This window comes from Homo sapiens, chromosome X (assembly GCF_000001405.40).
Source record: "Homo sapiens chromosome X, GRCh38.p14 Primary Assembly".
Taxonomy (NCBI): domain Eukaryota; kingdom Metazoa; phylum Chordata; class Mammalia; order Primates; family Hominidae; genus Homo; species Homo sapiens.
In genome coordinates, this window is record NC_000023.11 from 130,957,565 (window position 1) to 130,978,545 (window position 20,981).

General features: G+C 40.2%; 2 annotated features.

Moving 5' to 3' along the window:
- Positions 1,428 to 1,687: an enhancer, noted in NCBI's record as "active region_29948". NCBI's record gives its function as "activates an Ori minimal core promoter by ATAC-STARR-seq in GM12878 lymphoblastoid cells {active_cell/tissue: GM12878}" and the evidence as "EXISTENCE:reporter gene assay evidence [ECO:0000049][PMID:35858748]".
- Positions 1,653 to 2,178: an enhancer, noted in NCBI's record as "H3K27ac-H3K4me1 hESC enhancer chrX:130093191-130093716 (GRCh37/hg19 assembly coordinates)". NCBI's record gives its function as "activates a minimal SCP1, AML or CMV promoter by ChIP-STARR-seq in naive H9 embryonic stem cells {active_cell/tissue: H9 hESC(naive)}" and the evidence as "EXISTENCE:reporter gene assay evidence [ECO:0000049][PMID:30033119]".

The window sequence follows — 20,981 nt, forward strand, 5'->3', positions numbered from 1 at the left end:
TTGGGCGGGCTCAGCTGGGAAGTTCTCAATTTGCTTCTTTCATTCAGTGACAGTCAGAGGGCAACTGGAGCTACAGTCATCTGAGAGCTAAACTGGGCTAAACATTGAAAATGGCTCACTTACATAGCTGGCAGTTGATGTTAGATTTCAGCTGGGAGCTCATCAGGAGCTGTTGACTGGAGGACCTACATGTGCTTGCTCTTTTTAGGTTGGGTTTCTCGCAGCATGGTAGGTATGTTCCCAGAGGGAGCGTTTCAAGAGTGTGAAGTAGATAATGCCAGTTGTGTTAAATCCTAGGCTTAGAACTAGTGTAATGAAACTTCTACCTTTTCCAGTTAGTCAAAGCACTCTCATGAGTTCAGACCCAAGAGGACTTGAGGAATAAACTCTACCTCTGCACAAGGAAAGGGCAACAGCATACATGGAAAGACATAATGACTTCTGATTATGTTGAAGACAAACTACCACCATCTTCAATGGAGAATCAGTATGAGGTACTTGAGGAGCAGGGTGCAGCAGGTTTTCCTGGAAGGGATTTTTAGCGTGAATGAAGCCAACTGTGTTTTCACCCATGCCCATTTCATAGATAAATGTATTGAGGCTCAGAGCATTAGGAGAAGCTACTGAAAGTCGGTGTCTGTGTCACAGTGTTGGCAAGGACCTTGGTTAGCTTGCAGGAGGTGTGTAACTAACTCCAAAGAAGAGAGGGGTCTAGAGCTAACAGACTGGTATGAGGGGGCTGATGGAACCTGAGCCTTTGAATAAAGCCCCTTCCTTTCCCTAACATTTCCTTACCCTCTACTGCTCGCTCAGGTGTGTTAGTTACTATGTAAATATCTAGGCCTTACAGACACCCTAGATTCCTGCCACTATGCCTTGTAGGCTTCTGAAGTCTTTTTCGTATCTAGACTCTGCACTCCAAATAAGCTGTGAACACTTTGAACATAGAGATCACATCTACAATTTCTTTCACTTCTGGCCCTGAGATGTCTCATATAGATGTTATATACACAGCAGATAACAGAAATTGGAGGATTATTTGAATCACAGCTAATTTCCCAGCATAGCCTGTGTAAGTAGTATTCTATGGTTTGGTCCCTGCACACTATACTAGCCTTATTTTTGAATTTTATCCATTTTCAGTAATTGTGTTTATGCCAGACATTCAGTCATACATATTCATTCTGTCTCTCTCTTTTCTCTCAATCTCTCTCTCTCTCTCTCTCTCACACACACACACACACACACATACACACACACACACACACTTCTGGCCTGATGAACACCCTTCCTTTCCACTCACCCACACCAGTCTACCTTTTTTGACATGCATCAGGACTCAGCCTGAGTGTGTTAAAGAAAAAATGGGGGGAGGAGCCAAGATGGCCGAATAGGAACAGCTCCGGTCTACAGCTCCCAGCGTGAGCGATGCAGAAGACGGGTGATTTCTGCATTTCCATCTGAGGTACCGGGTTCATCTCACTAGGGAGTGCCAGACAGTGGGCGCAGGCCAGTGGGTGTGCGCACCGTGCGCGAGCCGAAGCAGGGCGAGGCATTGCCTCACTCGGGAAGTGCAAGGGGTCAGGGAGTTCCCTTTCCGAGTCAAAGAAAGGGGTGACGGACGCACCTGGAAAATCGGGTCACTCCCACCCGAACACTGCGCTTTTCCGAGGGGCTTAAAAAACGGCGCACCACGAGACTATATCCCACACCTGGCTCGGAGGGTCCTACGCCCACGGAATCTCGCTGATTGCTAGCACAGCAGGCTGAGATCAAACTGCAAGGCAGCAGCGAGGCTCGGGGAGGGGAGCCTGCCATTGCCCAGGCTTGCTTAGGTAAACAAAGCAGCCGGGAAGCTCGAACTGGGTGGAGCCCACCACAGCTCAAGGAGGCCTGCCTGCCTCTGTAGGCTCCACCTCTGGGGGCAGGGCACAGACAAAAAGACAGCAGTAACCTCTGCAGACTTAAATGTCCCTGTCTGACAGCTTTGAAGAGAGCAGTGGTTCTCCCAGCACGCAGCTGGAGATCTGAGAACGGGCAGACTACCTCCTCAAGTGGGTCCCTGACCCCTGACCCCCGAGGAGCCTAACTGGGAGGCACCCCCCAGCAGGGGCACACTGACACCTCACACGGCAGGGTATTCCAACAGACCTGCAGCTGAGGGTCCTGTCTGTTAGAAGGAAAACTAACAAACAGAAAGGACATCCACACCGAAAACCCATCTGTACATCACCATCATCAAAGACCAAAAGTAGATAAAACCACAAAGATGGGGAAAAAACAGAACAGAAAAACTGGAAACTCTAAAACGCAGAGTGCCTCTCCTCCTCCAAAGGAACGCAGTTCCTCACCAGCAACGGAAAAAAGCTGGATGGAGAATGACTTTGACGAGCTGAGAGAAGAAGGTTTCAGACGATCAAATTACTCTGAGCTACGGGAGGACATTCAAACCAAAGGCAAAGAAGTTGAAAACTTTGAAAAAAATTTAGAAGAATGTATAACTAGAATAACCAATACAGAGAAGTGCTTAAAGGAGCTGATGGAGCTGAAAACCAAGGCTCGAGAACTACGTGAAGAATGCAGAAGCCTCAGGAGCCGATGTGATCAACTGGAAGAAAGGGTATCAGCAATGGAAGATGAAATGAATGAAATGAAGCGAGAAGGGAAGTTTAGAGAAAAAAGAATAAAAAGAAATGAGCAAAGCCTCCAAGAAATATGGGACTATGTGAAAAGACCAAATCTACGTCTGACTGGTGTACCTGAAAGTGACGGGGAGAATGGAACCAAGTTGGAAAACACTCTGCAGGATATTATCCAGGAGAACTTCCCCAATCTAGCAAGGCAGGTCAATGTTCAGATTCAGGAAATACAGAGAACGCCACAAAGATACTCCTCGAGAAGAGCAACTCCAAGACACATAATTGTCAGATTCACCAAAGTTGAAGTGAAGGAAAAAATGTTAAGGGCAGCCAGAGAGAAAGGTCGGGTTACCCTCAAAGGGAAGCCCATCAGACTAACAGCGGATCTCTCGGCAGAAACCCTACAAGCCAGAAGAGAGTGGGGGCCAATATTCAACATTCTTAAAGAAAAGAATTTTCAACCCAGAATTTCATATCCAGCCAAACTAAGCTTCATAAGTGAAGGAGAAATAAAACACTTTACAGACAAGCAAATGCTGAGAGATTTTGTCACCACCAGGCCTGCCCTAAAAGAGCTCCTGAAGGAAGTGCTAAACATGGAAAGGAACAACCAGTACCAGCCGCTGCAAAATCATGCCAAAATGTAAAGACCATCGAGAATAGGAAGAAACTGCATCAACTAACGAGCAAAATCACCAGCTAACATCATAATGACAGGATCAAATTCACACATAACAATATTAACTTTAAATGTAAATGGACTAAATTCTCCAATTAAAAGACACAGACTGGCAAGTTGGATAAAGAGTCAAGACCCATCAGTGTGCTGTATTCAGGAAACCCATCTCACGTGCAGAGACACACATAGGCTCAAAATAAAGGGATGGAGAAAGATCTACCAAGCAAATGGAAAACAAAAAAAGGCAGGGGTTGCAATCCTAGTCTCTGATAAAACAGACTTTAAACCAACAAAGATCAAAAGAGACAAAGAAGGCCATTACATAATGGTAAAGGGATCAATTCAACAAGAGGAGCTAACTATCCTAAATATATATGCACCCAATACAGGAGCACCCAGATTCATAAAGCAAGTCCTGAGTGACCTACAAAGAGACTTAGACTCCCACACATTAATAATGGGAGACTTTAACACCCCACTGTCAACATTAGACAGATCAACGAGACAGAAAGTCAACAAGGATACCCAGGAATTGAACTCAGCTCTGCACCAAGCGGACCTAATAGACATCTACAGAACTCTCCACACCAAATCAACAGAATATACTTTTTTTCAGCACCACACCACACCTATTCCAAAATTGACCACATAGTTGGAAGTAAAGCTCTCCTCAGCAAATGTAAAAGAACAGAAATTATAACAAACTATCTCTCAGACCACAGTGCAATCAAACTAGAACTCAGGATTAAGAATCTCAATCAAAGCCGCTCAACTACATGGAAACTGAACAACCTGCTCCTGAATGACTACTGGGTACATAACGAAATGAAGGCAGAAATAAAGATGTTCTTTGAAACCAACGAGAACAAAGACACAACATACCAGAATCTCTGGGACGCATTCAAAGCAGTGTGTAGAGGGAAATTTATAGCACTAAATGCCCACAAGAGAAAGCAGGAAAGATCCAAAATTGACACCCTAACATCACAATTAAAAGAACTAGAAAAGCAAGAGCAAACACATTCAAAAGCTAGCAGAAGGCAAGAAATAACTAAAATCAGAGCAGAACTGAAGGAAATAGAGACACAAAAAACCCTTCAAAAAATCAATGAATCCAGGAGCTGGTTTTTTGAAAGGATCAACAAAATTGATAGACCGCTAGCAAGACTAATAAAGAAAAAAAGAGAGGAGAATCAAATAGACACAATAAAAAATGATAAAGGGGATATCACCACCGATCCCACAGAAATACAAACTACCATCAGAGAATACTACAAACACCTCTATGCAAATAAACTAGAAAATCTAGAAGAAATGGATAAATTCCTTGACACATACACTCTCCCAAGACTAAACCAGGAAGAAGTTGAATCTCTGAATAGACCAATAACAGGAGCTGAAATTGTGGCAATAATCAATAGTTTACCAACCAAAAAGAGTCCAGGACCAGATGGATTCACAGCTGAATTCTACCAGAGGTACAAGGAGGAACTGGTACCATTCCTTCTGAAACTATTCCAATCAATAGAAAAAGAGGGAATCCTCCCTAACTCATTTTATGAGGCCAGCATCATTCTGATACCAAAGCCGGGCAGAGACACAACCAAAAAAGAGAATTTTAGACCAATATCCTTGATGAACATTGATGCAAAAATCCTCAATAAAATACTGGCAAACCGAATCCAGCAGCACATCAAAAAGCTTATCCACCATGATCAAGTGGGCTTCATCCCTGGGATGCAAGGCTGGTTCAATATACGCAAATCAATAAATGTAATCCAGCATATAAACAGAGCCAAAGACAAAAACCACATGATTATCTCAATAGATGCAGAAAAAGCCTTTGACAAAATTCAACAACCCTTCATGCTAAAAACTCTCAATAAATTAGGTATTGATGGGACGTATTTCAAAATAATAAGAGCTATCTATGACAAACCCACAGCCAATATCATACTGAATGGGAAAAAACTGGAAGCATTCCCTTTGAAAACTGGCACAAGACAGGGATGCCCTCTCTCACTGCTCCTATTCAACATAGTGTTGGAAGTTCTGGCCAGGGCAATCAGGCAGGAGAAGGAAATAAAGGGTATTCAGTTAGGAAAAGAGGAAGTCAAATTGTCCCTGTTTGCAGACGACATGATTGTTTATCTAGAAAACCCCATCGTCTCAGCCCAAAATCTCCTTAAGCTGATAAGCAACTTCAGCAAAGTCTCAGGATACAAAATCAATGTACAAAAATCACAAGCATTCTTATACACCAACAACAGACAAACAGAGAGCCAAATCATGAGTGAACTCCCATTCACAATTGCTTCAAAGAGAATAAAATACCTAGGAATCCAACTTACAAGGGATGTGAAGGACCTCTTCAAGGAGAACTACAAACCACTGCTCAAGGAAATAAAAGAGGATACAAACAAATGGAAGAACATTCCATGCTCATGGGTAGGAAGAATCAATATCGTGAAAATGGCCATACTGCCCAAGGTAATTTACAGATTCAATGCCATCCCCATCAAGCTACCAATGACTTTCTTCACAGAATTGGAAAAAACTACTTTAAAGTTCATATGGAACCAAAAAAGAGCCCGCATCGCCAAGTCAATCCTAAGCCAAAAGAACAAAGCTGGAGGCATCACACTACCTGACTTCAAACTATACTACAAGGCTACAGTAACCAAAACAGCATGGTACTGGTACCAAAACAGAGATATAGATCAATGGAACAGAATAGAGCCCTCAGAAATAACGCCGCATACCTACAACTATCTGATCTTTGACAAACCTGAGAAAAACAAGCAATGGGGAAAGGATTCCCTATTTAATAAATGGTGCTGGGAAAACTGGCTAGCCATATGTAGAAAACTGAAACTGGATCCCTTCCTTACACCTTATACAAAAATCAATTCAAGATGGATTAAAGATTTAAACGTTAGACCTAAAACCATAAAAACCCTAGAAGAAAACCTAGGCATTACCATTCAGGACATAGGCGTGGGCAAGGACTTCATGTCCAAAACACCAAAAGCAATGGCAACAAAAGCCAAAATTGGCAAATGGTACCTAATTAAACTAAAGAGCTTCTGCACAGCAAAAGAAACTACCATCAGAGTGAACAGGCAACCTACAACATGGGAGAAAATTTTCGCAACGTACTCATCTGACAAAGGGCTAATATCCAGAATCTACAATGAACTCAAACAAATTTACAAGAAAAAAACAAACAACCCCATCAAAAAGTGGGCGAAGGACATGAACAGACACTTCTCAAAAGAAGACATTTATGCAGCCAAAAAATACGTGAAAAAATGCTCATCATCACTGGCCATCAGAGAAATGCAAATCAAAACCACTATGAGATACCATCTCACACCAGTTAGAATGGCAATCATTAAAAAGTCAGGAAACAACAGGTGCTGGAAAGGATGTGGAGAAATAGGAACACTTTTACACTGTTGGTGGGACTGTAAACTAGTTCAACCATTGTGGAAGTCAGTGTGACGATTCCTCAGGGATCTAGAACTAGAAATACCATTTGACCCAGCCATCCCATTACTGGGTATATACCCAAGTGACTATAAATCATGCTGCTATAAAGACACATGCACACGTATGTTTATTGCGGCATTATTCACAATAGCAAAGACTTGGAACCAACCCAAATGTCCAACAATGATAGACTGGATTAAGAAAATGTGGCACATATACACCATGGAATACTATGCAGCCATAAAAAATGATGAGTTCATGTCCTTTGTAGGGACATGGATGAAATTGGAAACCATCATTCTCAGTAAACTATCGCAAGAACAAAAAACCAAACACCGCATATTCTCACTCATAGGTGGGAATTGAACAATGAGATCACATGGTCACAGGAAGGGGAATATCACACTCTGGGGACTGTGGTGGGGTGGGGGGAGGGGGGAGGGGTAGCATTGGGAGATATACCTAATGCTAGATGACGAGTTAGTGGGTGCAGCGCACCAGCATGGCACATGTATACATATGTAACTAACCTGCACAATGTGCACATGTACCCTAAAACTTAAAGTATAATAATAAAAAAAAAGACATATAGTTTAAAAAGACAAAAAATTTGGATTGAGAATAGACATAATCTTGATCCAGTACCTTGGAAGTGGCCATCTCTATTTCCTCACTTGGTAAGAAAGCGAGAAAGACGAGAGAAGGAGAAAGAGAAGCAAAGAGAATGGGGAGAAGGAAGGGAGAGAGAAAGAAAGAAATCATAAATCATAGTATTATAAAAAATGACAAAGATTGCAAATTATCTACTCAAATTTCTTTTTTCTTTCATAACAGGATGTTAGGTAATGTTCCCAGCTGAATAAAATGACATTTCATTTCTCAAAAAAAAAAAAAAAAAAAAGAAAAAATGATTCGTGAAACCAGTTAAAGAATGGTAAGGCAGACTTTATTCATGTGGACTGTAGTGATAGACCTAGGTACTACCACAGTGAGGTTTTGCAGTAGGCAAAAAGGATTGAGCTTAACTCTGAATACAACAAGGAAAAGTGGAGATTTATAGCCGAGCAGCAGTGGGATGGTCAGTGGATGGAAAATTACTAAGAGGAAACATCAGGGGTCAGATGGGATCCTGGCTAATCTGACCTAACAGGATTCTTGCTGAAGATAGGCCAGGGTGATCAAACATCACCTGAGGGGTGATGGAGGTTGAAGAACTCAATAAGATGTTGAGGGTGATCAGATATTGAAGATGGGGAGTTCTGGCTAAACCAATGAGCGGGATACTTGCTAAAATTGTACAACGCATAGAAGTTCAAGAGTCAAGGCCTAGTTGGGAAGAGGATTCATCAGAGCCCGACTAAAGTTGGATTAAGGAGAGGCTCTCTGTCAGTTGTTACTTCTTCAAAGAGATCCTTACTGCTCTCCCAAGTACAGATTAGGTACCCCTCTTTTGTGTTCTCACAGCACCCTGTATTTCCCCTTTTAATAGTTATTTTCTCATTGTTTTCTAAATATAATTACTTACTTGTCTATCTTCTTGATTTGACTATGGTGCTGGAGGGCACAGACTGTCTTTAACTTGTTTCCCTATGGATTTGCAAGAGGTCTAACACAACAAATGGATACACTTTCTCTTCAGTGATCTCTACCTTATGTCTGCAGGAACCAGTTGTTTAATGGGCAGACACTGGGACAGTGGACAAGAAACGTGTGTCCAAAATGTCGTGCTGGACACGTGCAGCCCCTCTGAACAACTCTTAAGAGCTATTGCTGATCTTGTCCCGCAACCCTGATCGCAAAAACTAAAAGGCATCTTTGTAAGTCTCCATGCATATACTGCTCCATTTTCCCAGCCTCCTACTGCCAACTCAGTGAGCGCTGCATGTGGATCACCTTTCCTTGCTTCAAATCCTCCAAATACACAAGAACTGTGGCAGAGCACTGGGAATGTTTGCCAACTCCTGAGTTTAGGAAGTCTGATCTGGGCTTTGTCACAAAAGGAGAGGGGTGCGGTAGCTCTGGGGTGCCAATCAATTGCAAGAGGACAGCTAATGTTCTTGGGAGATGACTGGCCCCCTAAGGCCATTTGTCAAGCAGGATGATTATGATTAAATATAACTCACCAGTCTACAAGTGGCCCTCAGACAGCAGAAAGTATCCAGCAGGACATTGCATGTCACGAAGCAGCGCCAGGGTAGTGGACATCAACAGTTCTGTCCAATTAATCCTTGGAAGCACAGTCAGAATTAATTGGGAACTTGTTGAAAGTTGATCGACACCTTTGGAAAGGTGAAATCCTTTTCTGTTCCCATTAAGTGTTGTTAAGGCCATTAGCAGAAATTGGAATAGAGAAATATGACCTTTCATGTGGTAGATTCAGAGACTGAGAAGATGGACGAGATGGAAATGTACTGGCAGCTTATAATAAGCACCTGGGTGGGGAGTGATAACTAAAGATTGAAAATTGACAAATGGGTTAAACTGGCAGAGATCAAGACAGAGAGGGATGGGGTGCAGTTTGCATGCAGAGGTGGTGAGAGAAAGGAATGAGAGCATCAATAATCCAGCAGGGTCGCCCATGCTGAGGGTCAGATATGGATTACTCAGAAGGTAGGCAAAATTTGCTAGGTGGGAGAGTAGGGAGATTTGGTTACAAGATGAAGAGATCAATTTATAGCTGTTGAGAGGAGTAAATGATCTAGTCCTCCCCAGGGAGTTAGGATACCACAGATAAATACTCCAGACTAAAATCAGGAGGTCTGAGACATTTGTTTATTCAGTTGCAAAGTGACTGAATGTCTCCAACCCTCCCCTTCCCACAGTTGGTTATGTCCTTCCAAGTGACTAACGTGAAATTTCTTTGAAAGCCATCAAGCTATACAGATGTAAGGAATTATCATCATAATCATCCAACTGAATCAAGTGCAAAAGAATATTGCTATAAGGAAATATGTGAGATTTTAATTATTTCCTCTGATGGAGTAGAACATGTTTGCAGATAATCTTGAACAGCAACAGTGCCCGAATGATTTATCTTGGGCTTTACAGCCACACATCATGATATTTTGATGGAGGAAGGTCCGGAGTTGTGGGATGTGCATCAACATGCAATTTTCCCTGACATTTTGCATTGGCTCAGATTATGAAGCCCTGACAGTGGGAAGAAATGGACCACCAGAAAGTAGTTCTTAAATTACCAGGAGCGCTGTTTGCTGCAGAGACACTCCAGAATCTTCAAGTTAGGCGCAGCACGTGAGAGTTGGCAGTTTTCCACCCACCGACCTGAGTTGCTGTGGTTAGATGAGGGCTTTCTTGCAGGATCCACCAGAGGCTGAGGCTTTGGGTCACAGTTATCATTAGAATGTTGTCTCTTTGCCAGGTCCTATGCTAAGCATTTTACCTGCACCATCTCATTTAATCATCAAAACTACTCTGTGGAGTTAGATACTATTATTGTCTTCATTTTACAGATAAGGGAACAGGATTAAAAAGATTAGTAACTTATCCAAGGTCACATCACTAGCAAAAGACAAAACTTGGTATTAAACTCAGGCATTAGCTCCAGAGCCTGTGCACGGAACTGCCATACAATACTGCCATGCGCATATATGAATAAGCCTGAGAATCTGAGAAAGAAGGAGATGTGACCTACCTAAGGCCACTCAACTAGTTAGTTGTCCCATATACCATTTGTTTTTGTTGTTGGACCAGATCTAGTATGCTCACAGCAAATGAAGAATTTTAAAATTTCCATTTTATAGATGTAGCTCAGTTCTAGTAATAATGATGATGACAGTAACGACAACAGCAGTGGCAACTAATATTTACTAAACATCTGTTTTTGCTGAGCACCGTAATAGCTACTTTATGTATACACTCATTTATTCATTTATTGAAAAAATGTTTATTGAGAGCCTTCTATACACAAACAAGTGTGTTCACACAAAAGCTTGTACACAAGTCGTTTACAGCAGTATTGTTCATAATAGCCTAAAGGTGGAAAAATTCCAAATGTCCATCAACTAATGAATGAATACATGAAATCTGGTATATTCATGCACTAGAATATAATACAGCCATAAAAAGAATGAAATACTGATACATGCTACAACAAGGATGAACCCTGAAAACATTATGCTAAGTGAAAGAAGTGAGACACAAAAAGCCATATGTAGTATGATTCAATTTATATGAAATATCCAGAATAGGCAAATTTATATAGAGACAATGAATAGATTAGTGATTTCCAGGATCTGGGGGGAAGGGGCAATGGGAGTGATTGCTAATGGGTAGGGGCTTCTTTTCAGATGTGACGAAAATGTCCTAAAATTGATTGTGGTGATGGCTACACGTTTCTGTGAATATACTAAAATCTATTAAATTTTAGACTTTAAAATTGTGTGGTATGTGAATTATATATCAATAAAGCTGCTAAAAAAAGAGCCATTTCATATGTCATCTCCTTTGTCTAGCCTTTCCTGAGATCCTAGACAGGGTAGTCCCTTCTTCTGAATTCCTCTATCACCATGTACACACCTCTGCCATAGCACTTCTACCCCTGTATAAAATTGTCTACTTACGTGACCTTATACTTGGCTCTAGAAGCTCCCCAAGGTCAAGGAACATGTTTTATCTATTTCCTACCTCTTACAATGTTTCCCTGTCCTGCCTCCACCCTTTTTTCCTCCCTTAATCTCTCTTCCCCTCCCTTCCTTCTTTTTTCAACCCAAATTTTTGTTGAGCATCTACTGAGTGCAAAGGCACTGTGCTAGGTATTTGGGACTACAGCAGTGACTAAAGCATGGTCCTTGTCCTAGTGCACTTACAGTCTAATAAGGAAGATAGACATTAAACGTACATGATAAGTGTTAGGGAATAAAATTGTTTAACTGGGAAGTCTGACCTAATCTGAGGAATTAGGGAAGAAATCTCTCATGATGTGTTATTTTACCTGAAACTTGAATGACTAGTACAAATTAGTTGTGGGGGTAGAGAAACAGCATAGGGAATGTATTGAGGCTGGAAAAAGATTGACACCATGGAAAAAGTGAAGGGAGGGCAGTCTGGCTGAAATGGTAGAAATGAAGGTGTCAGGGGAGTGGAGTAGGTCATGGCTAACATAAGACTTGAGAGGAAGGTAAAGGCTTTGTTGGCCAGACTAAAGGATTTACACTTTGTTCCACAGATGGTTTTTAAGTGTGTGTGTGTATTTTTCAAATGCTCATTGCAGCTGTTCACTTGGAGAATGTATTGGAGAGAGCACAAGTATTACATTAGAATAATCCAGGCAAGTAACAATGGTGAGTAGGGTAACTGCAAGGGGTGTTGAGAAATGTGAATGAGAAGGGTTTGGGTCATAATATCAGAAGACACAATCCCAAAAGCCATAATCCCAATGTTGAAATCTTGAAAGACCACAATCTCTGAAGTCTATAAAATCTCAAAAATCACATTGCCAAAAGATCAAAATCCTGAAAAGATAATTCTGGGGGAAATAATTTTAAAATTATTTTAAATACATTTATTTACATTTTAAAGGGTGATTTATTTGAGAAACACATGAAATCATGACAGAACACTTCATAGGCTGGCCACTTTACACAATAAAATGGGCAAAAATAACGTGTATATTTTTGCAAACATAAACATTCAGGTACACTAACAGTAGTCACATGGGTATAAAAGTTATGAGAAGATGAACCGTATTCATAAAGAGATCAAAAAGCAAAATACATAAATGCATATTACTATAGTTAGTAATTGTTTTCACCCAGCTTTATAACTGTGGTCTTCTGAAATACTATAAGGGACAGCATAAGTCTTGACAAGATCATTCAAAAACTGCCATGGGTCACCACCGCATATAGTTACCCAAAAAGCTGAGATCTCAAGAAATTTTACCTTTCACAAATGCATATATACAAAAAGGGCATCTCTTCATTTATTGAGGAAGTTTCAATGTTTTCACATACATACACAATGCTTATACACAAAGTCAGGGTTGTGATAATGCAGTTTTGTGGAGTCAAATTTGCAAAAAAAATGCATACAACACATTAAAACTCTCTAAAATCTTTACACAATTATACTTTCAGTATTAGAAATGATGCAAATATGAAATACATAGTATGGTGAATTGGCACTGTGTGAGAAGGGACACAAGTCATACATAATTGAATAATCTGACAAAGCAGATTTCTTGTATTTTTTTGCCTGCATTTTCACTTCTACGATCTCTGAAACACTTGTTGCACTTGTATTTAGAGAGTGGTTGTGGCCTATGCATTTCCTAAGTATATGCTGTCCACTTAAAGTCTGATAATTGCTCAGCTGTTGAAATTATTTTCTGCTTTTGCAGCACCAATAGTAATTCGCTTTTAAACTTTTATCTTTCACCATTAAGTAGCCTTGTATACTTCTCACGGCCTTTTTGCAAAGGATCATTTTTTTTCAGGTCTCTTCTATTGTGTCATAAGGAGTACAGTAAGAAGGAATGACATTTAGCTCCCCCAATACTAAATCTGTATTAGTCAGGGTTCTCCAGAGGGACAGAACCGATGGGATACATATATAAATACTTGAGAGAGAATTCATTAGGGGAACTGACACCCACATGTATCTCCTTAAATCACACTTAATTTCCAAATAAAGACAATAACAAGGTAATAGTTCCACCTAACATGATGCAAGTATCCTATATACAACCAAAAATTCACTAATCTCTTCCCTAGAATTCAGCTTTCAGGGTTTCAGTATTTGGCATTTTAATCTTTCAGGATTATAATTTTCAGGCTTTTAGATGTTAGGGTTTTTAGATTTTAGGAATTTTGATCTTTTGGGATTCCAACATTCGGAATTATGGCATTTGGAATTGTGTCCTTCAGGATTATGACGATACTGTGTAATAGGTACAATCAATCAGTTTAGTGTTTGGTAGGATATGGGGAGTCAGCAAGGCCTCCAGAAAGATTCCTAGATATCTAGGTGGGGCAACTCGGTGAAAATGATGCCATTAATTTCAATAGAGAATACAGGGGAAGAGGTAGGGTTGGGAGTTATGTGGAAGTAAGGTTGTTTTTTTGTTTTGTTTTTGATGTGGTGACATGGAGGTACCTATTGGCAATTCAGGTAGAGAGGTTCAACAAGAATCAGTTGATGTATATGGAGTGCAGGAAAGATCATGTGTGAGCTGGAGTTATAGATTTCAGAGTTGTTAACAAGTAAATGGTAATTGAAGCCATGGACCTAGCTTATTCATCTTTGTATTTCCCACAGTACCTGGGGTGGTGTCTGACACAAAGTATTTGTTGAATATGAAGTAAGAAGATGTCAACCATAATCCCCTTCAAAGGGATGGTACATATAGGACTCCAGGTTGGTGTGCACAGCAGATACACATTAAGAGCTAATGTTTCTTGAGCCCATACTATGCATCAGTCACTTTCTAAGCCTCATGTCTTAATTGTCTCAGTAACACTATGGGGTAAGTATTAGCACTATCTCTATTGTTCAAAAGGGGAAATGGAGACACGAGGAGGTCACACAGCAAGTGGTAGAGTTAGGATTTGAATCCAGACAGTCCGAGTGTAGAACCTATTATTTTAACCACTGAGGTATATTTCCACTCTAGTACTTGAGGCCTAAGTTATTGGTTTGTTAATTGGTCAGTGTAGGCTGCTGTTCATGGTTGAAAATTCCTTTTCATGTCTTTCTCCTTCTCTCTGGGTAGCACTTTTATCCCTATTCTCCTGACATTTTTGTGCTTGCCTCCCAATCCAGCCCATTGTTACTGGGATAACTAGATTATCACATTCAAAGGAATGAAGTTAGACCTTGCAGTGGTTTGAATGTGTCCCCCAAAAAGCATGTGTTGGAAACTTAATCCCTAATGCAACAAAATTGGGAGGTGGAGCCTAATGGAAGATATTTAGATCATGAGGGTGGAGCCCTTATGAATGGATTAATGCTAATTATAAAAGGGGTTAAGGCTGTAAGTTTGATCTCTTGCTTTCTCTCGCCTTGTCCTGCTCTTCCACTTTCTGTCATGGGATGATACAGCAAGAAAGCTTTTGCCAGATGTCAGCCCCATGATCTTGGACTTCCTAGCTCTCAGATCTGTGAGGAAATAAATTTCTATTATTTATAAATGATCTACTTTGTAGTATTCTGTTATAGCAGCACAAAATGGACCAGGACAGACCTCTACCACACACTATACATAAAAATTAACTCAAGATAAATTAAATGCTTTTATGCAACAGCTAAAAAGATAAAACTCTTAGGAGAAAACGTAGATGTAATCATCATTCTTATGAATGTCAAGTCCATTTTCCCCAGCACCATTTGTTGAAAGGACTATTATTTTATTTAGTTGTCTTGGCATCCTTGTCAAAAGCTTTTCAAAGTCCCTATGAATATCTCACTCCCTAGTTTTAACTTTTAAGATTTTTGGTCACTCTATTGTTTGCCTCAACTGTTACTCACCATCTTATGCAGCAGCAGCGCTAATAAATTGCTTGGAATTGTTTTTGATAAATGCTCCCAGGTGGAAGGCTTTCACACTGGGAGAGTGCTGAATCAGGTTAAATACAGACAACCTTACAAGTGGCATTTCCTGGGAACCACCAGACAGGTTGAATAATGACAATTCTTTGGGAATAATTATTGGAAAGAGTTCCAGCTCCTTTCGGCTCTCTCTGGTGTCTGTCAGGATGTTGGTTTTCACCATGAATGCAGATTATGATTTTTCAAGCCTACTGTTGTGCTAGAGTGTAGGGAATTGGACTAGGACAAGTAAAAACACCACAATCTCACTCTTCTTACTGAGATTCAGCCATTTTTCTTGAATAAATGCACCTCAGATTGCTGGAAACTCTTGGATAATTTCTAGAGTTCTGAAAAATTTGCTTCTGACAATTTTTGCTAGTTTTCCCATTACTTTTATGGAGAAGAGGAGTTTTGGAGATTCCTACTCTGCAATTTTTCCCCTTTACTTTTTCAAACATGGTTTCCTTTAGTTCTTTAAACACATTTCTGATGGCAGCTTTAGAATCTTTGTCAAATCCAACATCTGGGCCCACTCACAGATTGTTTCTGTTGCCTGCTTTTGTTCCATACATATGATTGACTTTCTTCTGTTTCTTTAGTTGTCTCCTATTTATTTTTTGTTGAAAATTGGGCATTTTAGGTAACATCTTGCAGCAACTAGATATTGATTTCCCTTCTCTCTCTCCGAGGCTTCTTTTTGCCATTATTTGCTTGTTTAGTGACTTGATTAAACTATTTTAGTGAAATCAATTTCTCCCTCAGTGTGAAGTCTTCAGTGTTGATCTTCAGAGAGCACAGCCTTGGGCACGTGCACCATCACCCTAGGATGCCAGTGGTTTTATTGCAGCTCTCTTTCTCCATCTCTCTGTCAAGCTATGTGCATTGTTTGGAATCATACCCAGCTGCGAAGTTTCACTACTTGCTGGGTGATTGCTTTATTGTTTTTGACAAAGTCCTGGGATATAAATTGTTTCACAGATAAATCCAATTAAATCTAGGACCCTTTTCACAGATAGTACTTGAGGCAAGTCTTTGAGGTTTGTTCAGATCTCAGGAGGGTTCATCTTTGCTGTCTCCTTCTCTGGTTCTCTCTGGTGAGCTAGTTTGCCTATGTTTTAAGTGGTTGATCTTAATTAAGAGAATTCTCAGCCTCTTCTTAATTGCTTACCACCAAATATCCATTGTTTTTGAAAGTGCCCTTAGGTTTGAACTTCTCCAGTCTGTTTCAAATAAAGTTATTTACTTTAGGGAGAGCTTCAGAGCTGTCTGTCCTTATGACCTGCCTCTGCTGCTGAGCCAAAATCTGTGAGCCACAACTCCAGAGCTGGGTGCAAGGACAGTGGCCCACTTTTCTTGGAATGATATTCATGCTTTATGACGAGGCTGTTTGGCAGGGGCAGTAGACTCAGGTTTTCTCAGCTTGGCTCTCCCAGAATTGAACCTCTGCCCTATGAGTGAGATGGGGCAAGGACAATTAGTGCCTCAGTATTCTTATCCTTTCATACCTGGGGGTAGAGCCTCTGCCCTATGATTGTGTCTGGGTGGAGAAAGGAATACATCAGCATTTTTCTTGGCTACACTCATCTCTGCAACTCATGGTGAAGTGGTGGGGGGTGATGATAAATACTGGTGGCTTGCCCTCCTGTGAGATATTGAGTCACTTGACCGGGAGCTGAAGGGAGAGGAAGCCTTGTCATCTTGGCCTTATGTACCCAGAATGAAGTTTCTTTCATGCTTAGCTGGGGAGGGGAGATGGAAGGAATGGGTTATGGCTCAAGTGCAACAAACTCTTACTGTTCTTGTCAAGATTTAGTAGATTTTCTTAAATAAATATTTCCTCACTTGCAGTCTTGCCTTAGGACAATTTTGAGAGACTTTTAAATGGTTGTTCGTTTTTAAAATAACTTTTATCAGTTATACTTGTTTTACTCGCAAGTGAATATCTTCATTGTCATATACTTTTTTGATGCCTGCTTTTCTCTATAGCCTGAGGAAGATTCTGAATTCCAGAAAATCACCATTTGCAGTTGTCAATGCTATAATACATTGTGCCTGTATAATATCATCCCTAGACAAAGTTCCCAAATAGATATTAAGTTCTTAGAGGAGAAGGACTGGATTTAATACAACCATGACACCCTGTATACTTAATGGGCCCAAAGAATTCATCTAAAGAATGATGCACAAATAGATAACTATAGCTTCTATTTAAAAATGACCTCAACAATGGAGCATAACTCCCACCCCTTAAGTCTAGGCACTGTGTAGTAACTTTCCATTCATTATGGAAAGGGGAGAAAGAGCAACCTTACAATGGACAAACTTGACAAACATTATCTCAAGCTAGTTGATCAAGGTTAACAACAATAGTGACATGTTATATTAATAGTGTATACTCGTGATATGATGTGAATGAGAATGTCGCTTGACCTCTGAGGTCCTCCTGCCAAAAACACATTACCCCAGTTTGGTCATGAAAAAAATATCAGACAAGTCTCAATTGAGGGACATTCTGCAAAATACCTAACCATCACTACTCAAAACTTGTAAGGTCATCAAAAACAAGAAGTGACTAAAAAAACCATCACAGCCAAGAGGAACTTAAGGAGATATTATGGTCAAATGTGATGTGGTATCCTGGATTGGATCCTGGAACTGAAAAAGGACAGTAGGTAAAAACTAAGGAAATATAAATTAAGCATGGACTTTAGTTAATTATAATGCATTATTAATATCAGTTCACTAATTATGACAAATGTACCATACTAATGTAAGATGTTAATAATAGGGGAAACAGGATGTTGGGTATATGGGAGCTCCTTATACTATCTTACCAGCTTTTACCAAAAACAGTTCTAGAATAAAAATAGTTTATTTGGAAAAACCAAAAACAAAACAACAAACCTCTACTACAATGAGGCAGGCTTTGTGCTGAGCAGAAAAATACTCAGTCGACCTGAGAGTCTGTTTTTCTTGAGATCCCTTGTGGAGTGGGGCCCATGGAGACCCAGAGAAAAAGGTAGCTAGGGTAGAATCAGAACTCTGTGTTTTTTTGGCCCAATAGTTTCTTTCCTATGAATCTCTCTTAAGGAAACAGCCAGATGAATACACAAAAATGTCCATGCCAAGTATGGTTACTGCAGAGTGAAATACTGCAACATCCTAAATGTCCACACTGGGGCGGTATCTCACTATGTTTGTTCTATAGAGCATCAGTCCAATAAAATGCTCCGCATATACAAACAGGAAACGCTGCGTGCTATATTCCCGTCGAGAGTCCAATATACATTAGTGTAATAAGGCTCTGAGATGAGTCATGCTAAAAAAAATGTAAAGTTCTGTTAGAAACAGGGTTTGAAACTCACAACTATGGATCATTTTTTATACTTTTTTTTTTTTTAAACAAACGCTACTAATGTCTTCACACTTTGTAAATTGTTACACTAAAGGTTGGGTTATATAGATTATGAAATATGTTTCTATTGGAATATTATATAGCAATTAGTGAAATCATACTTTTATAGGACTAATGAATTGAGAAAAGTCACAATTTTAAATAAGGAAAACGAGATACACATTTGTATATACAATATAATCTTAATTATTTAATGTTTTCTGTACATAAGAAAAGGACAATTAAAAACTACAAATGGTTATCGCTGGGTTGTGTAGTTACAGGTGATTTTAAATTTCTTCTTTATAGTCCTTTAATTTCATAGTGGTCTACAAAGTAAATATATTATTTAAATAATCAGAAAAGAAAACACATCATAAAGCAATATTTTGTAAGCTAAATCATTCCTACCCCTCATGCACTCTAAACTTATTTGCTTTTTGTTATAAAAAAGTATTTGTCAGAATTTTTTTGAAAAAGCCAGATTATATAAGCTCGGGAAAGGGAACGGCAGAATGTCTTAGATGGGCTTGATTTAACTAGTGGAGCATTATAAAAATAGAGCATTTCTCTCTTATGGCCAGCAAGGAGATGGCCACAGTAACCTGAAGGAACGAGCAGTCCAGGCTGCTAAACTGTTGCTATTTTTTGGCTAATGCTGGACTGTGATGCCCTTCTTTGGCTAAAGCTGTACTGTACCATCTGAGATGGCATTTCCTTACAGATAAATGTTCTTCTTCTTGATTAAGGAATGAACACACAAGGCTTCAGCCTAATTCCCCATGTCAAAATGACCTCCAGAGGACAGATACTTCATCTTCTTGTTTGTGTGCAGGAATTCCTTTCAGGTTCCTCCTATGAGACTCCTACACTAATGCAAAAATTTCTGCTCTTTCTCAGGTGGCTGGAAGGGGAAGGGCTGAGCTGGCCACTTTCAGTGCCTCTCTGTGCAGAAACTCTGTGGCACTTACCAATGTCTGGCTGGCCTGGGATTGAGCACTAGCATGTGCAGGGTAGGAATTGCTGGATAAATAACCTGAAATGCATTTTCGGGTAATCAGTTTCATTCGTAGAAACTGCATTCAGCCAATTTGCAATGTTATATGATATCATATGATATGGTATGACATGTCTGAGAATAAAGTGCAAGATGCTGGAGAATGAGGGAAGCTCAGTAATAATCCTAGTTTTGCTACCAATTCTTTGTGTGATCTTTGACCATTGCTTCCCCTCACTGGGCCTCAGTTCCGCCAAATATAAAACAAGTGGTCGGTCTATGAAATTGGTTTCCTGATTCAGCTATAATAAAACTTAAACTCCTTTACATGAACCCCAGGGCCTTGCATGATCAGGCCTCTTGTCTCCCTCTTTGCCTTCATCACCCACTAGTTTCTCCCTTACACTATTCCAACCATACCTCAGGACCTTTGCACTATCTCTTTCCTCTGCCTGGAAGACTATCTCCCAATATCTGTCTCTGGTTTTGTACCTGGGTGTTAGCTAAATGTCACCTCCTAATAAAGGCCTTCCCTGACTAGCTGCTATAGTTATGGATTGTTTGTCCCCACCAAAACTCACATTGAAATTTGATACCCAAAGAGGCAGAGTTGAGAGGTGGGGCCTAGAGGGAGGTGTGTGGGTCGTGGCGGCAGATCTCTCATGAATGGCTTAGTGTTGTTTTCACAGTAGTGAGTGAGTTCTTGCTCTTGCAAGACTGTATTAGTTCCCACAGGAATGGATTAGTTTCCCCAAGAGTGGATTGTTGTAAAGCCTGGATGCCCTTCAGGTTTTCCCTCTCATGTCTGCTTCCCCTTTGACCTTCCCAACCATGTTATGACATAGCATGCAAGGTATTGCTAGAAGCCAGGGTCATGCCTTTGAACTACCCAGCCTGCAGAACTGTGAGATAACTGAACCTCTTTTCTTTATAAATTACCCAATCTAAGGTATTATGGTACAGTAACGCTAAATGGACTAAGACACCACCTTATGGAATGGTGCCCTGTGCCTTTTCCCCCATTACTCTCTTTCCTATTACCTTGTTTCATTTCCTTCCTGGAAATCATTACTTTAATATTTGTCTTATTTATTTTATTGCTGGCCTATTTACTGTTTGTCTTCCCCCACTAGACTCTGTAGGGAATCTTGTTGATTTTATTCATTTCTACATCCTTTCTGACTAGAAAGATGACTGGCACAGAGTAGGTAATTGATAGATCTATGTGGAATG